This window comes from Homo sapiens, chromosome 5 (genome assembly GCF_000001405.40).
Source record: "Homo sapiens chromosome 5, GRCh38.p14 Primary Assembly".
In the NCBI taxonomy this organism is placed as follows: domain Eukaryota; kingdom Metazoa; phylum Chordata; class Mammalia; order Primates; family Hominidae; genus Homo; species Homo sapiens.
Window position 1 is genome coordinate 143,781,328 of NC_000005.10, and position 25,267 is coordinate 143,806,594.

The 25,267-nt window shown below is 38.8% G+C and overlaps 4 annotated features.

The window, feature by feature from the left end:
* Positions 11,060-11,159: an enhancer, noted in NCBI's record as "active region_23351". NCBI's record gives its function as "activates an Ori minimal core promoter by ATAC-STARR-seq in GM12878 lymphoblastoid cells {active_cell/tissue: GM12878}" and the evidence as "EXISTENCE:reporter gene assay evidence [ECO:0000049][PMID:35858748]".
* Positions 11,280-11,359: an enhancer, noted in NCBI's record as "active region_23352". NCBI's record gives its function as "activates an Ori minimal core promoter by ATAC-STARR-seq in GM12878 lymphoblastoid cells {active_cell/tissue: GM12878}" and the evidence as "EXISTENCE:reporter gene assay evidence [ECO:0000049][PMID:35858748]".
* Positions 15,569-15,628: a silencer, noted in NCBI's record as "silent region_16485". NCBI's record gives its function as "represses an Ori minimal core promoter by ATAC-STARR-seq in GM12878 lymphoblastoid cells {active_cell/tissue: GM12878}" and the evidence as "EXISTENCE:reporter gene assay evidence [ECO:0000049][PMID:35858748]".
* Positions 19,987-20,046: an enhancer, noted in NCBI's record as "active region_23353". NCBI's record gives its function as "activates an Ori minimal core promoter by ATAC-STARR-seq in GM12878 lymphoblastoid cells {active_cell/tissue: GM12878}" and the evidence as "EXISTENCE:reporter gene assay evidence [ECO:0000049][PMID:35858748]".

A 25,267-nucleotide genomic window follows, 5' to 3' on the forward strand; every position in this document is an offset into this window, starting at 1 on the left:
AATTTTTGCATTTTTAGTAGAGACGGGGTTTCACCATGTTGGCCAAGCTGGTCTCGAACTCCTGACCTCGTGATCTGCCCGCCTTGGCCTCCCAAAGTGCTGGGATTACAGGCGTGAGCCACCATACCCGGCCAGTCTTTTCATACAACCATTATTAGATACATCCCTGAGTTCAGATGTAGCTTATCTTATATTTCTCATTTAGTGACTTACTTATTTAACATTCGTTGAATGCCTAGGTGTCAGTCACTGACTCAATGGTAGGAATGAAAAGGTGAACATGGCATAGTTTCTGCCCTCAAGGAAACTCCAACCTCATGGAGGAGAGACACTTAAACAGATAACGGCAAAATATGTCAGCAGAGTGATAAAGGAGTTAATAAAGCTAGAGGGAAGGGTTTCTAACACATTTTTAAAAAAACAAACATTTATTATTTACTATTTGCCAGGAACTCTTCTAATAGCCTTGCAGATATAAATTCGTTTAATCCTCCTGGCAATCCCAGGAGAGACATCTCACAGCATCTCAACGTTGGAGGTGAGAAAACAAAACAGAGAGGTTAAGTAACTTGCCCCTTGCTCAAGATCTCACAGCTACTTAGTAAGGAAGGAGATTCAGCAGTGTGTGTGTGTTTGTGTGTGTGTGTTTAAGGTGTGTGTGTGTGTGTGTGTGTGTGTGTGTCTCCCCAGAGTTGCCTTCCTAGAAGCCTCTCAAGGAAGGGAAGAGTAAGCGTGAAAAAGAATGAGTGACTAGTGAGAAACTATGAGTGGGATAATGGTTACCTGGTAAAGCCAAGATGGAACATGTGGCCCAGGTCTTTTGATCTTATCATGTTATACTGGGCTCCAGGCATTGAATCTTAATGTAAGGATGTGTTAGGCTCATTTGAGGAAGTCAGATGACTAAACAAGATAATAAGGCTTTAAGGAGCCTGGCTGGCTTACAAATTGTGCATAGAAGGAAAACTGTTCAAGTATGTGACCTTTGAAATCACAGTGTGATCCCACTGGCTAGTAAATGCGAACCAAGTGGTATTCTAGAATATGAGAGATTTGTAACCCTTTCTCCCTGGGGCTTGTCAAAATTAAACAAGCATTTAGAAGAGAGAGAAAGACTTCTTTTCTCTACAATGATGACAGCTCAAAGTGCTGTCACATCCAGAGAGGGGGACATGAATTTTCATTGACCCAAAGCCTGAGTAAGTGTTAAGAAAGAAATAAGGTACCTGTGATGATGGGTTAGGGGAAGTGGTGCTACTGGAGAGAGGGTGAGTTTTCAACACAGACCTGTGAACAAGGCTGGCTGGAATCCACCCTTAAATCAGCTGTAAGGCAGCCTTTCAACCTTGTTGTCTTCATCTAAAGGGCATGGAAACAACCCTCTGAGCCCTCCCTGTCAAGGGTGCTCTCTCACATGCCTGACATTCTTTTGCCCCTTCTATACGACACCATGAATGGGCCTGCTTTTCTTTCTGCCCCAGGAATCTTTTATAGCATTCCAGGATTGTTCTTTTCCCCATAGAGACAATGGTTTTACATCAATGATTCAATGACTGTGGTAGACAGAATAATGACCCTCCAAAGACACTCACTTCCTAATCCCAGGAACCTGTGAACATGTCCCCTTACATGGCAAAAGGGACTTGCCTAATAGATTTAGTGAAGGATCTTGGGATCAGGATGCCATCTAGATTATTTGTGTAAGCTCAGTGTAACTACAAAGGTACTTAAGAGTTGGAGAGGCATAAGAGAGAGGCAAGGGGAGATTTGATGACAGAAGAGAAGGTGATGCAATTTGAGGAGGGCTCAACTTGCCGATGCTGGCTTTGAAGGTGAAGGAAGAGGACCACAAGCCCCAGAATGCAAGGGTTTCAGAACCTGGAAAAGACAGATTCTTCCCTAGAGCATCCAGAAAGGATTGCAGCCCCGCTGACAACAAGGTTTTAGCCCAGTGAGACCCATGCCAGACTTCTGATCTCCAGAACAGTAACATAATAAATTTGCTTTGTTTTAAGCCATGAAATTTGTGGTCAGTTTTTACAGTAGCCATAGAAAATGAATACGATGAAATTTGCTATTTTCTGTCTTTATGAGGGCAAGCAATTCAGAATTCCATAACTCAAATAACTCTGCTTATCCCATCTTGTATCTTCTTAGCCCCATCAAATTTCCTCATTTATCTTGACCTGTGTCAGCCCACATGCATTGTGACTCTGGCTTTCAAGTTGGCTTTTGAAAAGTGCTTGCTTTCTGTGCCTGGGGAGACATTCTTCCTATACCTGGAATGAAGCCCCCAAGCCTATGTCATGATTTGATTTTGCATCAGTGGGTATCTTATATATTTTGAAAGGAGAAGTGGACTTGGGAAAGATTTGGCCTTTATGATTTTGTTAGAGGACTAACAAAATCTCACTCACTCTTCACTTCTTTTGGAAACTCTTATTTTTAAACATTTTACTGTTTACTGTAGATCTTACCTGATACCCAGCATTGTATCTGCCCCAGTTTGGGGAGAGCGGCCAGAAGATTGAATGGACTGTTAAAATCTGCAGAATTTTAGAGTACAAAGAAATTGTAAGAAGCCATAGTTATTCAGTTAGGATGGCTCAGCAGGAATCTGGAAGGCTATCTTGGGTTCCTCATTTAAGCAATTTTGGTCTAAAGTTATTGTTACTCCAAAATTAATCAAGGTTACAGACTCAAGGTTTATTAAGCAAAGTTACCTGTTAATACAATCTACACTTACAATCTGCACTCTTACAAGTTTTCCTCTAGTTCAGTGTTTCCCATAGAGTGGGATGCATACATGTCCCACCTGCTGGTATTTGATGTGGTTTGAAGTGGTTCATGGACAGAGCATTTGATAACATTGAATTACGGAGGGTGAGTGTTATTCCTCTTTGATTTCTCATTCAATCCCTCTTTGTGCAATCAAGGTTAAATTCTTTGGTATGCCATTAACACTTTCTAAGCTGAGCCAATCTGCCTTTTACAATAGGGAGAGCAGGCCATAGTCAGAATATTTTTAACAGCTTCATTGAGGTATAATTGACATAAAGCAAGCTGCATGTGTTGAAAGTGTACAATTTGAAAAGTTTGACCTATGCAGATACCCATAAAACCACTTCCATAATCAAGATAATAACTACTTCTGTCACTCCAAAAGTATTCCTGTGACCCATTGTGATCTCCTCTTCCCACCCTTCTGCTCAATCCCATCCCCAGGCAACTACTGACCTTCTTTCTGTCGCTACAGTATGGTGAACTCTTTTCTGGGAGGGTCTGGCTACTTTCACCTAACATTTATTTTGAGATTCATCCAAATTTTTGTGTGTATACAGGCAGTTTTCCATTATATAAATAGATCACAATTTGCTTTTCCATTCACCTGTTGATGGACATTTGTGTTGTTTCTAGCATTCGCCAATTGCAAATAAAGCTACTGTGAATGCTCGTGATCATGTTTTGTAAGGACGTATGCTTTCATTGTTCTTGGGCCCATACCCAGGAGTGGAATGGCTGAATCACATGGTAGTGTATGTTTAACTTTAAAGAAATTGCCAAACCATTTTTCAAAGTGGTTGTACCATTTTACATTCATATCAGAAGAGTATGAGGATGCCAGTTCTTTCATATCCTCCTCAGCACCTACAGTCAGTCTTCTTAATTTTAGCCATTCTAATAGGTTTATAGTCACTTATTGTGGTTTTAAATTGCATTTCCCAAATGACTAATGATACTAAGCATCTTTTAGTGCTCAATTTGCCATCTGTTTATCTTCTTTAAAATCTTTTGCTAGTTTTTAAAATTAGGTTATTTGTCTTATTGAATTTTGAGAGTTCTTTACCTGTATTTGATGTAAGTACTTTACTAGATATACAATTTTCAAATGTCTTCTCCAAGTCTGTGGTTTGTCTTTCCATGCTCTTAACAATGTTTTTTGAGAGCAACATTTTAATATTTTGACAAAGCACAATTTTTCAATTGTGTTATTTTTATGTATTGTGATTTTGTGTCTTATCTAAGAAATCATTGCCTAACTCAAGGCCACAGAGATTTTCCTCTATGTTTTTCTTCTAGAAGTTGTATAATGTAAGGCTTTAAATTTAGGTCTATGATCTACTTTCAGTTAAATTTTGTTTATGGTGTGATGTACAGATTGAAGTTAACTCTCTTTCTCTTTTTTGCGTACATCAAATTGACCCAGCACACTTATTGAGAAGATTACACTTTTTCCACTGAATCATCTTTACACCTTTGTCAAAAACACATTGTCCATATATATGTGGGTCTACTTTTGGACTCTATTATATTCTAATGATGTATGTGTCTATCTTTATGCTGATACCACACTGTCTTTGTTATTATAACATTATAATAAATGTTGACATCAGGTAGTATTAGTCTCCAACTTTGTTCTTTGTAAAAGTTATTTTGGCTGTACTAGAGCTCATTTTCACTTCTCTATAAATTTTAGAATCAACCTGTCAGTTTCAATAAAAGGACATGCTAAGATTTTGTTTGAATTGCATTGATTTCATAAATCATTTAATGGATAATCGACTTCTTAATATTTAGTCTTCTGACCCATGAGTACCCTATCTCTCTGAACTTGTTTATGTCATCTTCAATTCCTCTCTACAATGTTTTGTAGTTTTTAGTGTATATACCTTTCACGTTTAGCCATATTTACTCCTAAGTACCTAACATTTTTGAAGCTATTGTAAATGCTTTTGTTTTTAAATTTCAATTCCGATTATTTGTTACTAATATTTATAAATACAAATGATTGTAGATGTTGATCTTGTATCCTGTAACCCTTTAAACTCAATTATTGGTTCTAGAAGGTTTTTTGTAGATTCTATTACATTTCCTACATAGATGATCATGTTGTCTGCAAATAAAGGCAGCTTTATTTCTTCCTTTTCATCCTGGATGGCTTTTGTTTTCTTTCTCACTTATTTTACAGGCTATCACCACCAGTACTGTGTTGAATAGAAGTAGTAAGAGCAGACATCCTTTACTTTGTACCTGATCTAAGTGGAAAGCATTAGGCCTTGACCACTGTTTGATGTTATCTTTACCGTTTAGACATCTTTAATCACATTGAGGAAGTTCCCTCAAATCCTTAGTTTGCTGAGATTATTATTTTGTTAAGAAGGAATGTGGGTCTTAGCAAATGCTTTATTGGCATCTATTGAGATGTTCATATGGTTTTTCATTTTTAGTTTGTTAATATGGTGAATTAGATTGATTTTCAAATGTTAAACAAAATTTTAAATCTTGGGATATATCCCACTTGGTAATGACGTATTATTGTTTTTACATCTTGTTGGATTTGATTTGCTAAAATTTTATTTAAACATTTTGCCCCTATGTTCTTGAGGATTTGTGGTCTATAGTTTTCTTTTCTTGTAATGTCTTTGGTTGTGGTATCACTGTAATTTTGCTCTCAGATAATGAGTTGTTAAGTATCCTCTCCTATTCAATTTCTGAAAGAGTGTTTGCAGAATTGGTATTATTTCCTCCTTAAATATTTGGTAGTGAAGTGGCATTGCTCATTTGGGATAATACCCGAGGTTTGTTGCCCTATGCCAAAGAAATCAAGGGCATGGACACACATGGAGTGAGGTTAAGAGTGGAGGTTTAATAGGCAAAAGAAAGAGAAAGGAGAACAGCTCTCCTTCCTGCAAGAGAGAGGGGCACCCGAGTGGGACTTCTCATCCTTTGGTGAAATGCATGGGGTTTTATAGACTGGCTTGAGGAGGTTGTGTCCCAGCTACTTGTAAGGCTGAGACAGGAGAGGCAGGAGAATCACTTGAACCTGGGAGGTGAAGGTTGCAGTGAGCCGAGATTGTGCCACCTCACTCCAGCCTGGGCAACAGAGCGAGACTCTGTCTCTCTCTCTCTCTCTCTTTCTCTCTCTCTCTCTCTCTCTCTCTCTCTCTATATATATATATATATATATACACACACACACACACACACACACACACACATATATACATCTATATACACACATATGTATATACACATTTATTTTTGATTCTACCTGACATCTTTAAAAATGGGATATATTTGTCAAAACATTTAATGTCCTTGTCTGCTAATTCTAATACCTATACTACTAACCTTCTATTTATGATTGATACTGATTTTCCATTTTAATATGTAATATTTTCTTTTTAAAATAAGTCAATTGCAGTCTAAAAAATTGAGTCAATTTTAAGAAAAAATATTTAGTAAATAATAGTAAAGATGGTAAAGAGCTATGACAAATAATATGACAGTGATAAGCAAATGATGGAAATTTGAGGAAATGATGCCTAAGCTTATTTGTAAGGTGTGTGTAATGCTGGGTATTAGAATCTATTCATCAGGACCTGGCTAAGGAGTCTTGGCCCCTGAAATTTATCAAGCTCAAATCCATTAGTACTCGTGGGTGGTGTTGAGGATCACAAGATTTCTTGAGTTACGAGATACTCAGATTTCAAGGAGCCTCCTAGGATAAAAGAAAAGATTTTGCACTGGCTACCTGATATAGCCTGTCTCTTAAAATATGATGTTTACTCCATTGACCTCTCACAGTGTATGGGAGGTAATGTGTTTTGTTGAGGGCAGGGGAGGTTGGTGTGGGACTTGGGAGATGTATAATGCTGAACTAAGAAGAGGTTTGTTTGGTTTTCCTCTGTAGTCTCGGTAAAAAATGAAAGGTGGGAGACATCACCTAATCTGTCTCTTCTATGGCTGTTTGCCCATAAAAGGTGAATGAAATCTCTCAAGTTATGGCCAGCCTGCCTAGTATTTCCTATAGCATATGTTGGCACTAGTAACATTCTTCATTTTCCTCAAGGAGTGGGACTAGAATATACTCTATGAGGATGATAAATACTTCCATGTAAAGTTTAGTTGACTGTAAATTATATAACACAAGCTAACAATATCTATTTCCTTTTCTCTGCCCCACCAAAAAAATATGATAATACAAATTAAACCGTAGACTGCTAAACTGTCTTGCTCATCAGTGCATCCCTGGCAGCTAACTAAGTGCCTGGAGCAGAGCAGGTATTCCTTAAATATATGGTAGAAGGGAAGCAAGGAAAGGAGAAAGAAAGGAAGAGGGAAGAAAGAAAAGAAGAATGGGGAAGGAATATAGTCCAAGTGGCAATGGAGCCTCCCAAGTAGAACGTGAACTCCATAAGAACAAGGACTTATGTGTTCCCCATTGCTGAGCTCACTGACTGGCATACTGTGAGCACTTTATTCATATTTGTCAGACACATGCATGAATGAGGGCAGACATAGTCCTTGCTTTCTCTGTTTAATGAGAACAATAAAGGTATTCATATATGGTTATATTTACTGTGGTGATAAGTGTTTTCAAGGCAAAAATATAGCATTAGAAAAAAGAGAATATGGTGCAACTAACCTAGCCCTTGGTTGTAAGGCAGGATTTTTCCAAGAAATGACTACTGACTGGGCTGAGACCTGAAGGATGATAGAAGTTGGCCAGGAAAAGAGTTGGGGGAATCAGAGTGAATACTTACCTCTATCCCAGGGTTCTTTGGATTTTGACCAATTTATTCAATTGTAGAAATTCCATAAAACTCAATATTGCCAAATCCAATGTAACTTATTTTTAAATCATCTCTTTTTGGGAGAGCCATCACCACTGTATCATCTAGCCAAATAATACATATTTATAGCTGTGTTATTTCTGTGCTTATCAGTCATGTTACTCAAAAGGAAGGGTCACATCTCTATCAAATTTGATAGGGGAAAAAACACTTCTATAGGCATTTTTCCCATTAGAGAAAATGAGAGAGTCAGGTTTTCTTCCAACTTTCAGCACTTCCTGGTGTCCTAAAGTCCTTCCACACCAGAAGTGTTTGACCCACAAAACACTGGTCATCTCCAAGGAGAAGATCCAAGGAGTCATGGAGGACCCAACAGTGCCTCCATAGTATTAGAGGGAAGTAGACGAAGTGGACAAAGGCACAGATGCCTGAATGAACTCAGCAGGGTGGAAGGATGTCACAGGATGAATGTCATCATTGTCACCCAAAATTTTTACTGACAACTCATGCAAGGCCTGGCATGATTTGGTTGCCGTCTACCTTTCCAAATTCACCACCTCCATTTTCTCTCACTCCTACTCCATACCATCCTTATATCTTGGCTAACCACCTTACAGCTGTTTTAGCCTCCTTTCTATGCTTCAAACAGGCTGAGTACCTCTTGCTTTGGAGCTTTTGTGTTTTGGCATGCTCTTCCCCTGATTATCACATAACCAGGTTCTTTTTAACCTTCAGTGCAGGATCAACTATTGCCTCTTCAGAAAGACCCTCCCTGAATATTCAAGGAAATAATTTATTTTACTAATTTACTTCTCTGTCTGTCTCTAGAATGTAAGCCCCATGAGGGCAGGAGCTATCACCTATGCTATTCTTAATTGTAACCTCAGAGCTAGCACAATACTTTACATATAGTAGGTGCTCAATAAATAGTTTTAAATGAGTGAACTAAAATCAGACACCACATTGGGTTGTAGTCAATTTATAAGCTAAATAATTCTGATTAAAAAAAAGTGGTGGAGCTATTTGGTTTGCTATGACATATAAAAACAAACAGTTGATTTATTTATTTATGAATTTTATTTTTTTCTTTTTTTGAGATGGAGTCTTGCTCTGTCGCCCAGGCTGGAGTGCAGTGGTGCGATCTTGGCTCACTGCAAGCTCCACCTCCTGGGTTCACGCCATTCTCCTGCCTCAGCCTCCCGAGTAGCTGGGACTACAGGTGCCCGCCACCACGCCCAGCTAATTTTGTGTTTTTGTATTTTTAGTAGAGACGGGGTTTCACCATGTTAGCCAGGATGGTCTCGATCTCCTGACCTCGTGATCCGCCCGTCTTGGCCTCCCAAAGTGCTGGGATTACAGGCGTGAGTCACCACGCCCGGCCCCAACGTTGATTGATTTTTAACTTTTTAGTTTGATGACAGGTCTCACCAAATAACACCAAGACTGTATGCCTTTATTTAAATGACGTATATCAGCTTTTGTTGCCACTGTTGCTGTCACAGACATGGCAAATAAACCAGCTGTGACCCCTAAGAGACTGTCTTCTCTAATTGATGAAAACAAAAATTGCTGTTTTGGCTTGATCTGAAGGCTGGGTATATAGAGAAAACATAAATTTATTTCTAGCCTTGATATAAACTCATCTGTTTGCCATTTGCCTGGTACAATTGAAAGTACCATTCTCACAGCCAGCCTGCCTGTAATGATTTCTAATACTTGCTGCTCCCAATGTTGTCAGAACTGTGTCCGCAACATAATATGCAAACACTAACTTTTGCAGATGTCAATAATTATGCAGGTTTATCAGTCTAGAAGGTCAGCATATATTATAGAGCAGACAGTTTAGGCTGATTAGAAACCTCAAACACTGATAACAACTTGAACATCTCTTATTGTTTAAAACAAACGAAAAGCCCAGGAGCTCTTTCCTGTGATTTATTCCTTGAGGATGCTGTGAGAAAGATGATTGCATCAGATTGTCCAGAATCACAGGTTGATGGCATCAAGCTCTTGCTATTTGCACTTGTATTCTTCATCAGGAGGCACAAAGAAACACAAAGCCTGTGTGGCAAGGCAGGGAAGGCAGAGAAAAGAAAGAGGCTGCCTCTGAGGTCCAAGAACTATTAGTAAGGCCAAGGTGGGGAGGGCTGTGGAAGCAGAGAATCTGGGTTTGAATCCAGGGCCTATCACTCATTGGCTGTAGGATCCAAGATAGATTATCTAATCCCTCCCAGGCTTAATTTTCTGTCTGTAAAATAAGAAAAATAACATTTTCCTTCTAGGTTGTTGTGAGGATTAAATAGCATAATAAATACATAGCCCTTTTAAATTAAAAATTGCTATTGAAATACCAGGTATTAATTATATTCATAGATGCTCTGCCATCCCCATTTTTAATAGATTTTGGAAAAATAGTAGGAATGTCTGGGCATCAAAAGCCCTGTGTTCTTTTGAAGCATCCTGAATGTTGGGAAGACAATAAATATGTAGTGGGAAAAATTCAGGCACGAACAACCTGGGTTTGAATTCTGCCTCCACGCTTCCTACGTGACACTGGGCATGTTCCCAGACTTCTCTGTACCTTTTTCCTCATCAATAAAATAGGAATCCTAACAGTAGTTCCTTTAAGGGCCATTGCAAAACTAAATGAGATAAAAGAGTTATTCTTTATAATTAGCAGGATTATCTATGGAATGAAATTGCTGACTAAAAGGCTACTTAGCAATTTCATTCTATAGATAACAGGTGATGGATTCCAATTCCGTAGATCAGGAACAGTACATGGAAACCTTCATTTTCAGAAGTTCTAAGTAACTCTGAGATATAGCCTTGGTTGAGACCTGTTGTTGCCATAAAGCAAAATGTAACCATGATTTCTTGTTGTTTATGGAACAGGTCCATAAAGATCCTACACACTGCTAAGAGATTTTTCTTCTTGACCTTCTCAAGTCTCAGTTTCTGTGTCATTACATGGACATAATAAGGTCAAACCTCGCAGAGTTCCTATAAAGAACAGTGTTTATGAGTATAAACTCTGGAGTAAGACGATATGACATGGAAGGAACTCTTATCATACCAGGCGAAGGGCAGAAATCAGTAAGGTTTGTTTCCCTTTCTTCCCCTGACATGCGTTCATATGTCTGGTCTAGTGGGTGAGGGAGCCTAGCCCCCTGCCCACCTTCCATATCCCCATCTCCGCATGGTTTCATTGTTCCTTCCCTACCACATGTGCCATGACTCTTAGGAAACAACAAAAAATATTTGATTTATTTTTAGAAAACTGCTTCTGAAAAAAGCCAATGTTAGTGCCAGTGAAGAAAAGGAAGAGAAAGTGAAAGGGGTATGAAAAAGCATTCTTAGCCAGAGAAAACTAGTTTAGGTCAGAGTCACTAAGGATCTGAAATCATCTGAATGTTATGGAGGAAACTGTGTGTTCACAAGTACAGATATTCCCATAGGATTTGGGATAATTTCTAGTAAAATCTAAGGGCTATCTATATTATGGAAATCTATGTTGGGCCCCTCACTCCCCATGGCCATATCAAGCTTACAACTAATTGCGCCTGCCAGCCACAATCACCCAATCTGTGTTACCACCAGACAGAAACTCACTTATTGCCTTCGTGAAGAAGTGGGTTATTCTTTGTCGTCTGCCATCTGTGTGGTCTTTGCAGTCTCCCGTATGCTGAACACAAGAATGAAAGCCTGGCTCACTGCCCTTTTTCAGCAGGGATAACACAACCATGTGCTTACTGAGTGTGTAATTGAACAATCGGCTCAGACCCCCTTTTCTTTGGAACCTCAGGCAGAGATTAAATTTTCACTCTGCAGTCAACCTCATGTCTCTTCCCTTGAGGACTGGGTGGCAGATTTTCCTCCCCCGCTGTGAATTGTGCTGGGTCCATTATTAAATTTTTTGCTGGTGAATGAGGAAATCCAGGAGACATGAGGTGATTTCAAAAGCACATATTCCTTGTTTTTTTTTTTTTTTTTTTTTTTGTAAGGCCTTTGGGGAAAGAACACAACTAGATTATTTTAGGACTTTATTTTATGAAAAGAGAATTAGTGGTCTCTGGAAAATTATATGTATTTGAAAAAAATTCAAGTTATAGTAATTCAAGTAATTAGGAAGTTAGTTTTGACAACACTGAAAATACCAGCTGAGCCCCTAAGGACCCAGGGTTCATCACAGGGGGTGAGAGGAAGAGGAATAGCAATTTAGGCACAAGATACGTGGAGCAACTTGTCCCTGTAAGATATGGCTGCTGTGTGTCCTATCTCGCAGGAGCAGAAGCAGATTTTCTGCAAGGTTGTTGTGATTCACTTGCAACTCCCTCTGCCCCTTACAACACAGCAGTACAAACCGTGTTGCTTTGTTGAGGATTTTAAGATTGAGCTCAGGGTGGCAGTTTCTTATGACTATGCTCAAGGCACTGAGTGAATCACTTTACATCCAAAATTCACTTAAGCCTCCTAATATCTTCACAGGAGGGCACTATTGTTACCCAATTCTACAGCAGGAAAAATGGAACTTAGGAATGTGAAGAAACATGCTCTCTGTGGATAGCTTGGGAGCAGTGGAGCTGGAATTCAAATCAGGTCTGATAGATGTTAGAGTCTGTGCTCTTTAGTGTTATGCTGTGAGGCCTCGGCTAAGGACCATTCTCCTTCTGCTTACCAGGAAGCTTCAGCCTGAGCACTCCCTCCCACTGGAAGTAAATAAAATTTAGAGTTAAAATTTCAGATAACTCTCCTCCTTCTCTTCTGTACCACCCTACAATTGTCTTTATTTCCACAAGATCCATGTTTATTTAGATCCCTAATATTCTTTTTGGGGCTTTACCTTACCTAGTTTATCACTTCACCAGATATACTCATCCATCTGTCCGTCTGTCCATCTGTCCGTCCATCCACCCATCCATCCACCCGCCCACCCATCTATCCATTCATCTGTCCACCCATCTACTTTTTTATTTCTTCAACATCCCTTGATGAATATATATTGACTAGCCAGGCATGGTAGCTCACACCCGTAATCCGAGCAACTTGGGAGGCTAAAGCAGGAAGTTTGCTTGAGGCCAGGAGTTTGAGACCAGTCTGGGCAACACAGTGAGACTCCAACTCTAAATATATATATACCTACCACCCAGTAGACTACAGGCACTGAGTTAAGTGCTCAGAATATGATAAATGGTGAACAAAATAGTCATGATTTGTGACCTCGCTGAGTTTATAGCCTAGCAGAGGAGACAGAAATCAACCAAATAGTCACCCATAACTACAAATTGTGACAAGTACCTTAAAGAAGTGGAAGAAGTTGCGAGTGCACCTAATAGGTTGTCCAGGCTTGGCCTGGGGGAGTTGGAGAGGCCTCCCAGGGAAAGTGCTATTTAAGCCGAAAGCTGAAAGTTGAGTAACCTCCTGAAACAGCTATCACTTACTGAGTGTAGACTAGGTATCAGGGTTTACTCTAGGCACTTTTCATGTAGTAACTCTTTGAGTCCTCAATACAGCCCTGCCTGTTATTTTCCAGAACCATTCTCTTAACTACACTCCACTGCTTCCCATATAGGTGGAGAAGAGGGGAGAAAGACTCCATACCAGATGCACAGGAGTTTGGGGCTGGAGCACAGAAAACAGAGGGGAGCAGTGTGTGATGAAACCAGCCAGGTCAGAGAGGACGATGCTGGGGCCATTTACCTTACTTTGAAGAGTTTTGAGAAATCACTGTCTTTTTTCTTAAGCTAGGGAAGTGACAAGATTAGTTCTGTGTTTTCAAAGATTACTTTGGCTGCCGTGTGAACACTGGAGTATAGGAGAGTAGGGTTGGTGTCGGGAGAACAGCTAGGAGACTATTGCTATTCTCCAAGAAAGTATTTGAACAAGGGTGGTAGCTCTGCAGATAGGCAACAAATAGATGGATTCAGAGGTACAGGTGGGTAGTCATATATTCAACTCCAGTTATGTGTGTAAAACCTCATGTTGATTTATACAATAAGATAGTCTTAAAATGTATTTCCACTCTTAGTTGCTTTGGTCCCTTCTCCCCTAGTCCCTAAGAGATATACTTTTCACTCTTCAGTTAGAAGTCCTCCAGGTGGGAAAGTTTTTTGTGGGGGTGGTTGTTTCTTACAATCACAGATTTCCCTGAGTCTTGAAGACTCTGGGACCCATACAGTTAACCTGCAGGCAACAGAACTAAGCATCTTGGCACACTTGTAGAGGTTACTTGACATCGACAATAGTAGTTGAGAAAAATCTAAATTCAACAAGCCCATGACTATTGTCAGTTCAGTGCTTCAGTTTGAAGATAAAACAAAAAACTGTCATAAACTCCATAAGCTAAGTGGCAGTTTAAAGGGCAATTTAAAAATATTTTATAACGAGGAAATAAAGGTCTTATTGTGATAACCTGGCCATAAATGCATGAGAACTGCTTTGACCCTATATTTATTAGGATACTTATGAGATTTTTTTAAGCTAAATGGAAAAGTGAGGGGCCAAACATTCTTGTTTGCAAATAGGACAGAATTTCAGCAGGTACTGACTTTTAAAAATTCAGACATAGAAGAAACATCTTTATAGTTTATAAATATAACTATATTGTGGATGCTCACACATATAAGCAAAATGAAGTAGGTGGCTGAAACACTTATTCACCTAATTATTACCCCCAGAATTGTCAAACCAGAAATTTGAGGCAAAACATGTTTTTGTTTTTGGCAAATGTGTCCTGTTTTGTTTTGTTCATGGAGGTGATGTTTGAATTTGAATAATGGAGCAAGGATATGTTAAATTCATTCAGAGCAACTGAATTGTTTTGGAGCTGAAAGAATATTATTAATAGACCATGGAACTGGGAATGGTGTTTCTGGCTTTTCACATTTGCACATACAAGGCATGGAGAATTTAGATGGGATCTAGAATTTCTTTAGTTTTATCCCTAAAGTGATGGCTGGCTGTGACTATAGTTCTGGAGAGTTTTGCAAAGCTGCAGCTCCCTAGGAGGGCAGAGCACCCAGTTAAATCACCAGGAAGAACCCCATCTGAAGCAACGTGTTTATGGGTATAATACTTCTGCGAACATATGCTCATTAGATTGTCACAGCCATGTGAGGAGGTTAGGGCCAATTCTGTGAGCTCCATTTCAGGGCTGAGGGTAACAGAAACGCGGTGAACCATTGATAGTAGGGGAAGTGACCAAAAGTGATGAGGTTTATTAGCAATCATTTGGTGCAGACCTTCATTCTCGGGCATACACGTCCAGTGGGTTTGCTAACAAAGAGGCATCCTCCTCCCTCCCTGCTGCCCTCCTTCTCTCCTCTTCTCTCTGTCTTTCTCCCTTACTTCCTCTCTCCATGTATATTTATGAAATCGCTCTGAGAACAATACTGTGGTAGTCACTGATGAGAGAACCGAGGCAATAAGCCAGATTACCCAAGCCAAAAACAAAACAAAACTGTTCCTAGAAAAAAGAAGAGTATAATTTCTGAGCCAAACTTTAAGAATGGTGAGCCAAAATTCAGATAATTGAGGCAAATGGTTTGTTTTGTCTATTTGACTTAATTAGCTAAATAACATCCTTATCTCTAATTATATCTTGGTGGTGAAACCCCAAATCATAAGAGATCCCTGCCCTTGGGCAATTTGGGGCAAGTTGCTTCAGTTATAAATTAAGTTTCCTCAATTATAAAATGATTAAAGTGTGGTGAAGATTGAATGAAATGATACATGAAACTGCTTGGCACATAGGGAGCCCTCAGTAATAACTGTTTATTGTTTATATTAAGGTGGGATGTAAGGAAGAACTTACAAGGATGAGAGGGGAGGTGGGAGGGGCTTCCAGGGAACCAATATTTGTAAAATGTCTATGTAACAGGGTACTCACCGAAAAGGTGTGTGTTCTCTCTCTCCGCATGTTGGCCGTGACCCGAATGTACCTGTCTTGGGCCCCCACTGAGTTTGCAGGTCCCTGTAACCAGAGAAATGGGGTTGCCCTTAGCAGCGCCCTGTAACAGGCACTTCCTCATTACTGATAGTCCTTAGATAAAAGCATTACATCTCCTTGCCCCACAGGATGAGGAAGTGATTCCCTTTTCAATTCCTTCTCAGTGCTGATTTCATCAAGCAGAAAGTCTAAGTTAGGAGCTACAAATCTTTAACACATATCTTTTACACTTCATAAACTCCATCTTTAAAAAAAGCAGGTCAGAAGCTCAGAATCTTAGACAACCTTCTAGTTAGAATTTATACTTTTTAAAATTTTCTTTTTATGGTGATTTTTTAACATTGAAAATAATAATATAAACTTTCATTTTAAATAATTTTGGGTAAAAAGAGGAGGTGACTTAAAAGAATATTAAGGAAGTATTAAGCAACTATGATAAAAACATAAAGATGAGTTGGTGTGTCAATGTGACAAAAATCATGGCCATCATATTAAAATGACCAAAGTTTGGGAACTGCTGCTCTTGCCAAAAGAAAACCGTGACTGTTCTTCGTGGTCTTATGATTGATCTCTCAGCCTTATTTTAAAGCCATCCAAGACTGACTGCTCCAAGAAAATGATGAGTTGATAGACATGGCTGTCTGAACCCACCTATCAGCATGGGAATTTCTGCATTCTGGATATGAACAATAAAAGCATATGTATAGGGACTACACACAGTGAGCCTGAGATAAATTTCTAGAGGGGAAAGAAGTGACCTAACCAAAAAAGAGCAAACCTTTATTGGGTCCCTTCATCCATCTATGTTCCGGAAGACTGTTCTATGTGGGCATGAAGTGGATTTGGAGATGAAATGTCCAAGGAAAACAAGAACAGTAACCAGATAAGAAGAAATCTGTTCTTGGCATCAGCATACTTGTTATATTCTTACTGCATGCTTCTCTGATCAACCTAATAAATTCTCCTTTCTCTTGGAAAATGGCATGAGCACATTACTTTGTAGTCAGCAGCAAAGGGTATGTTAGTGAACATACTCCAAGAAGAAAGAGGAATCTAAATAGAAAATTCCTATCAAGTGAAAAGAACCCACAAGGCCTTTACCTTCATGAGCTTACTTAGTATATGTACTAGGTTAATACACTTCCAAATAAGTATGGGTAGCACATTTCAAAGACAAGGAAAAAGGCTCGAGGGAGTTAAGTAACATTCCTGAAGCAAACAGAAGAGATGGAGCAAGAATCCAAGCTTAGGCCTGACATCCTTTTGTTTTTCACTATATGTTCTAATTGGATGAAGCAATGTTTTTGTTTTGCTTTCTCATCTTTTTTAAAAAAATTAATAGAAATGGGGTTTCACTATGTTGCCCAGGTTGGTCTCAAACTCCTGGGCTCATGTGATCCTCCCACTTTAGCCTCTCAAAGTGTTGGGATTACAGGCATGAGCTATTGTGCCCAGCCTGTTTTCTTATTTTTTAATCATGACCTGCATATGTAAGACATAAAACTTCTGTCTCCTTTTTTTTTTGAATTTGAGATACCTTTATCTGCCAGCAATTTTTTTAGATGTACTAAACAAGTTTGGATTCATTTTACTGTTTCATTTGTTGATGCAATAAATTGTTGGTGATGCGATAAATCTATGACCAAGCAGAGAACTTAGACGACTCTTTCTATGGTGTTTTCTCTACATATGTATGGTTCAACTTGTTTTGTGTTCATTCATTGGTTTATTCATTTGACTGTATTTATCAAACGTTTACTCTGCACTTTTGCATTGGACTTAGTATTCTGTGTCTATCCACAAACAAATTGGAACCAGCCTTCAATTTGCCAGTATCACATATCCTCCTGGATAAATGCTCAAGTGTGTTGTGCACACCATTGTTACGTTAAATGTGTTCCTAATATGTGTTATCATCATATCAACTTGGGCAGAAGTCCTCCCCAGAGAAGGCGAGTGAAGATGAGGTCAGAAACATGTGTTTTGTTGAGAGAAATGGTTTCTAGAAATCATTTCTTTCTGGTTTTTCTTCCTATTCTAAAAGAACCAAATAAGAGAAAACCTCCACAAGCAAAACAAATGGTGGCTTCAGCACATGGATGGTCTCCAATAGATCTTCATAAATATCAAGATGCACAAACACTTTTTCTCTCTCTTAACTCACCCTCCCAGCACAGTGCTCAGAGTGCTGGTAATGTGCAGACTTCAGTGTAGGTGATGCCTTAGGGTCTGAAAGAGAAGTTAGTGAAATAAGCTTCCTTCTTCCTGTCTTGCTCCAGGGTTCCTCACTATCACCTTTCCTTGTAGTTTCTACCTAGAAAGTCAACACAGCGTACTGTCTTCTTTAATCTAAGTGTACTTTTCGACACCTCTATATTCTTGCCTTTTCACACCTTTATCATTCCTTCTTTGAATGTAAACCTTCCCCTGTACCTGTTTTCTATGTCCTTTCAAGAATGGTTTGGGAAGCTCTCTCTTTTGATAAGACTTCTATCCTCACTCTTCTGTTCTTTCAGAAGCAAAGATGGATTTTTTTAAACAAAGTTTTTATTGCTTCTTTTGGCCTGAAGCACCAAACAGGTCTCTGAGTCTATAACATGGGCTTTTATTTTAGATGAGATTCAAGAGAAGAACATGGGAGATACTACATATCATGTGTGCGCTTTTACTTACTCCTTTACGTCCTGAATGAATTTAATATATTTTTCATTGATTAATACATTAACATAGCTGCTAAATGCCTAGTATGTGTAAGACAGTATGCTAAGGTTTGGTGAGAAATTGACAGACAAGGTATAGAGTACTTTCGATTCTCTGTTTTGGAATAAAAGGGTAGTTCTACAATCAAATATCAATTACCTTCAGGTATATGAAATCAAATATTGCCTTCCTCAGCTACAAAATTGAGATGTGGCTATGTACAGTATGTAAGTCTGGATATAATAAAGCAATACTTAGTAAATCTTTGAATAAACAAAGGAATACAGAGCTGGAGAAGAAAAGTCTCTGGGAAAGATCATTTAAAATTAGAATTAGGGATTTTGGTAAATATACAAATGGGAAAATAAGCACTCAAGTGAGAAAATACGAAGACTGAGAAGACATAGAATTGATATTTTTGAAACAATTGAGGGGACCCAGAGGTGAAAAACAAATATATTGACATACTTATGGACCTCATGGACCGGGTAAATGAAGTTGTTCAGTGGAAAGTTAGTTATTTTTAGAGCAAAAGGAACAGGAAATAATGCTTTACACACTGGTTTATTTGTAGCACTTATTACTGAAGAAGTGATGTCAGTCAAAACGAAATAAATTGAACTATGTTGAGAATGGATCTAAGCCAGTTTGGTCATTCCCAATTATTAGCTTCTTTTTTTTAAGAACTAGTAACCTTCAAAAATTTAGAGGTAGTTTACAGTTTAGGATCTCCTCCCCTGCAACTTTCCTACCAGGTTATAATGAAAGTAACTCTTAGCCGGGCACAGTGGCTGATGCTTGTAATCCCAGCACTTTGAGATGCTGAGGGGGGTGGATTACCTGAGTCAGGAGTTCAAGACCAGCCTGGCCAACATGGCAAAATCCCAACTCTACTAAAAGTACAAAAAATTAGCCAGGCATGCAGCATGCACCTGTAATCCCAGATACTTGGGAGGCTGAGACAGGAGAATTGCCTGAACCTGGGAGGCAGAGGTTGCAGTGAGCTGAGATTGTGCCACTGCACTCCAGCCTGGGCGACAGAGCAAAACTCTGTCTCAAAAAAATGAAAAGAAAAAAAAGGAAAATTCTCAAACCCAGATCTTTCACACATTTTTTTTTTTTTTTTTTTTTTTTTTAGAAAGCAGACACCAAACAGTCTAGAACCTGTTTGGCAATCTTCTTGAGTCCCAATTCTATCCTTTTAGTTTCATTGGACACAAAATGGATACTATTCTGGGGGCAAGATGGATTCAACACTATGGCTGGCATCATGCAGAAGAGTCCTTCCCACCAGCAACCTGGGTCCTGCATTGGCTGCCATTTCAAAAGTGCAGATGGGGCTTTCCACTTAGAATAGAGTGGTTTATGGCAGCTTAACACTCCCACGGGAACACAACTGAAAAAAAAGCTAGATCAAATTCAAAAAACACATCTGTTTCAAGGCATCAGAGAGCTGCAAAAGCAATGAGGACTAGATGGGCTAAAATTCCAGACGGGAAAATCCCAGAGGGGTGAGGAAGGGATCTTTTGCAGCTTTTCCTAGGGGGTATTTGCCTAGTTCTAGGTGTGGCTATGAGGCTGAGAAGCCTTTCTTGGCTCCAGCAAAGGGCCGCTGTTGCGAGGGAAGGAGAAAACAGCAGAGACTGGAGCAGGTATGCAGTAAGGAGGTGACCCAACTGGTGATTTCAATGGCCTTAACACACAGCTAGTTACTTCTTGAAGACATTTGCTCAATCCTGAAGCTGAGCCCAGTGGGAGACTTAGAAACTAAGTTTAAAAATCTTAGAAAAGCAGAGCAGAACTTTCCTCCAGTTCATGGTTCTACGAAGACGCTGACTGCTGGGGAGGAACTCTGGTTCATGGGGCCTGGGGGCAGTGGTGAGGTGACTTGTTTGCAGCTGCCTGTTCCCTGTCAGCTTTGGCCAGTTCCGGGTATGGCCAGAGCTAAGCATCTTGCTTGGCCCAACAGAGGGCCACTGTTGGGATGGGAAAGCAGAGGTTTTTGCATTTATGTGAGGCTGGAATTCACTGGAGACTTGAGGAGCCTCAAACACACAGCTGGTTTCCCTTTAAGAAATTTGCAGAATTCTGAAGCTGCATGGAATAGGAGATTAAAAATCAGAAAACTTCTGAAAAGCAAATGGGAGTTTTCTGTATTCTGTGTGCACTGAGAAGTCAAGGATCTCCCAGGCGCTGGGGTCCTGGTCGATACTTCATGTTCTCACTTAGAAGAAGGGCCTCATTCTGGGAACAGGAACAAACCCAAGATACACGCAGCCCAGTCACAAGCTTGGGGAAGATGCTTCTCCCAGCCCCAGTCTATCCACCCCACAGAGGAAAGGGTTGATCCTCTCCTGGTGGAAGATAACATCTACAGCCTTCATAAGTTTTTATACACAACAATCTGTCATTCAACTAGATATAAAGACCACTGAGGTCAGAAGATTCTCATACCCTGTCATGCAAGGATGGAGTATGTCTCCATGCTATTTTTAGCCAATCTACCTCTTGAACACCCTAATTGCACTAATGGAAACAGCTTTGATTATTAGCATGATAGAAAATAATCTATTATGCCAATAAACAAAACATATTGTTGATTAGAGATAAAGAGCTGAAACTCTTGCAGCAGCACTTCCGGGGTATCACTCTAATAATTAAGGGCTGGTTGATCACTCTGAAGTATGTATTTTTTATTAGAGTGTAGAATAAACACACATGTATTATAATACTTTATGATGAAATGTTTTAAAGTAAATAATAGCTCATATGAGACTAAAAGCTCTTTAATAATTTGTTGTATATTTTCAAAAAGTTAGAAGAGACTATTTTGAACGTTCACAACACAAAGAAATCATAAATGTTTGAAGTAACTGATACATTAATTATCCTGATTTGATCTTCATATATTGTATACACATACTGAAATATCACTCTGTATCCTATAAATATATATAATTATTACATGTCAACTGAAAATAAAATGGAAAAACATCAGAAGCCTTGGTAGATTCAACTCTGTGTGCCTAGCTCATTCAGCTCTCAGCTTGTAATAGGGGATCAGTCACACTTGTTGAGTGAATTAATAAATTAAATATTTAGGTAAAATAATAAATGATGGGCTGGGCGCAATGGTTCACACCTAAAATCCCAGCACTTTGGGAGGACAAGGAGGGTGGATCACGAGGTCAGGAGTTCAAGACCAGCCTGGCCAACATGGTGAAACCCGGTCTCTACTAAAAATACAAAAAAAAAATTAGCTGGGTGTGGTGGTACGCACTTGTAGTCCCAGCTACTCAGGAGGCTGAGACAGGAAAATTGCTTGAACCTGGGAGGTGGAGGTTGCAGTGAGCTGAGATCACACCACTGCTCTCCAGCCTGGGCGACACAGCAAGACTCCATCTCGAAAAATATAATAATAATAAATGACGGATTATTCTGGGCGTTATTTCAAATGGTGAAAATCAGAACAAGGGGCTGTTCGCCTGTTGGTACCTCTTCTCCCTAACTCATTTTGAATCCCCAGTAATGTCCTATATCCTGATTGGTTCTCATATCCTGTCTTGGATTGCTTTGTTACCATTCTGATTATTTTCCATGCCTTTCCTGGAAGGCAACGTAGCAAGGAGACTGGGAAGCAGGCACTCAGGTGTCAGGCAGACCTTATCAAGGGGCCTTGACTCTACAACTTACCTACCACCCATTTGGCCACTAGCAGGTTACTTAACCTCTCTGGATCTCAGCCCTCTACTGTACAATGGGTATAGCATAGTAGCTTTTACAGAAAGTTGATGTGAGGATTAAATAAGATAACACTTGTCAAATGCTTAGGAGAGTTCCTTCAACATAGTCCAATGTAGTTGTACAATAAAATATTAGCAATTATTGTATTCTTTTGTAAGCCTATGCATTGCTCAATTTGGATTTTTCAAACAAACAAAAATTAAGATTACATCAAGATTGTGCACCTTAACAAAACAAAAGCTCAGGAGAGATGAGACTCAAATAATAAATGCTAGAATACATACTTTTGTGTTAATATTCTGCCTTCAAAGAAGTCAACTTGAAAGACTAACACTGAGCTGAAGACATTTAAAAAGCAATTTCCCAGCCTGTTAACATTTTCCAGTCTATACAGGTCTCAAACATTTTGGGAGACCCCTAAAACCAGCTTCCTCACTTCCTAGGCATGTCTTAATATATATACGTGTGTGTATGTGTATATATATATATAATATTTTATATATAATTATATATAAAAATATATATAATATCTTTCTACCAAAATTGGTATCTCTAACAGAATTAACTTAACATAAGATCTAACTGAAAATTGCATTTACTTTTACAGAAATTAAATCTGACTTTAAAAGATGAATAATCTACAGACTCTCAACAATGAAGAGTATGTCTCGGCTTTTAAATACCACTGCCAAAGAGTTCTTTTAGGTCAAGACTCATTCATTTGGGGGTAGGATAACAGACTAGACTATTTACCTTCATTAACCTGAAACTATGGGAGGTGTGGAAGTCAACCTGTATTTGTCATTGGGTCCGAGTGTCTCTGCGGTCTACCTGTCCTTGAGCTGTCATAATGGCTGGTACATTTTCTAGGAGCATTGCATAAGGACTATTAGCAATTCCAAACAGCCAATCAAGCATATGTATATGACAACCTGCATTAAATATCAGTTAGTTTTCTCATCTCTGAGCAACAGAGCTGATTTTAAATCATATAAGTGTGTACGGCAAGAGTTGCATATAGCCAAAATTACCTTTTATAATCTTTTAGGAAGACATCAAATTGAATGCCAATAAACCCAACGCAGCCAGTTTTTTCCCACTGTCTAGACATATTCCTGTTTCTTTGGATTACTACCAGAATAAATAGTTGGCGTGCATTTGGAGGCCATATTTTAGGAAATGTTCTTATCTTGAAACACTAGTAGCACATTCAGTGCAGAGAGATGTCCATACCATGAGAGGAGCATGCGGGAACTGGCACCAAATGTGGAAGATCAGATTCACTTTTCCCATCTCTCCTGCACTCCAAGCACATATGTATTGAGGAGGTGGTCAGGTAGAATCACTGCACTATTTACATGGTTTATAGTATTTTCTTTTATTTTATGTTTCGCCTGGGCACACTGTATTGAACTCTACCAGTTGGCTCTATTAAATTAGATGCATGGAGATATACTCTATACCACAGTCTTGGAAAGAACTCATAGATAAAATTTACTGTCTGCCAGGGACTCTATTAAACATGCATTATTTTATGTAATCTTGTTTAAAGTTTTATTTTTTAAAGTCATACAGTAAAATTGACCTTTTTGGTGCACAGTTCCATGACATTTAACACAGACATAAATTCTTAAAATACCATCACAATCAGGACACAGAACAGTTCCATTACCCCATGAAACTCCCTGCTGTTCTCTTGCAGTCAACTCTTTCTCCACCCTTAACCCTGAGCAGATCCATGGCAGCCAAGCTCCTGTTTTCTGTCAATATACCTGTGTCTTTTCAAGAATGTTACATAAATGGAATTATACAATATATAACCTTTGAGACTGGTTTCTTTCACTTAGCCTAATGCCTCTGAGATTCATCCGAGCTGTGTGTATCAATAGTTCATTCCTTTCTGTTGCTGAGTAGTATTCCATTGTATGGCTATATCATAGCTTATTAATTCATTCTCCCAGTCTTTTGGGTTGCTTCCAGTTTTGGTGATTATAAATAAAACTGCTGTAAGTATTTACATATAGTTTTGTGTGAATATAAGTATTCATTTCACTTGGGAAAATATCCAACAGTGGGATTGTTAGGTCATATGGTAAGATTACATACAAAAAAACTACAAAACTTCTTCCAGAATGGCTGTACCATTTTGCATTCCCATTAGCAATGTATGAGAGTTTCAACTGCCATGCATCTTCATTAGAAGTTGGTATTGTCAGTAGTATTTTTAGTCATTTAATAGGTATGTGGCATATAATACTCTAATATCACTATAAAGTAGGTAGTATTATTATCTCAGTTTTATGAGTGAAGAAATGAAGGCTCAGAGAGTGTAAGTACATCACCATAGACCTCACATTATGTAAGGGTCAGAAGAATCCCAGGATTTAACTCCAGAGTCCTAAAGACATTCCACATTGTGGTATAAGAGCAATCTATTTGACAAGACATGTATCTTCATATGTGACTTCTATTTGCAAGTCATAAGCTTTAATACACCTTGTTGATTTCTTTTAAAAGTTGGGGATACGTTGCATAACTGTCAGTTTGTGAATAAGCTGGAAGATGCCTTCAATCAGACATGTACTTTCTTTTGAACAAAAAAAAAGAGAGAGCTTAGCAGAGACATTGAAGACACCAATTTAAATTTTCTCTTGCATTAAAAAAAATATTCAGGACAAGAAACCATGAAAAATTTTTAAAAACACATACACACATAATGCTCCCTGTGACCTTTTATTTCCCTTCTGCTTTTTCCTCCCACTGGGCAACCATTGCTTTTGGCTGGTTAAGAAAAATTCCAGCTCTTAAGAACCATTTTTATAGATTTGAAAAGAGAACATTTTTTGCTTTTTTTTCTTTCCCCCGAGGTTTTCTTTTTTCTTATCCTTCTTGAGCTATGGTCTTAGGACAATTTCACAGCCTCTCTGCAGCTATGATCGGGTTCCTTAGTAGAGGTAAAGTCACAGAAGAATGAAAGGCTGACTGCCGGGTCCATTTACAAAGAAGAAAATTTTAAAACAATCCGGCATCTTTGCATTTGTTATAATATATGCATATCATAAGTCTAGAAATATCAAACATCTGCCGATAATTTGGTTAGGTCATTTTCCATGGGCTTTTCTTTGACCTTTTTAATTGGTTGATAAGCACTTGGTCTAACCACAGGCAGTTGATAATAAACTAGAAATAGAAGAATGTTCAAGATTCAGACACTGGAAAGGAACCAATTACCTTTCCTAAAAGGGTAGATTTTCAACTTTGAGGACCAGAAATAATTCTTTGATTTTTCTGTCATCTG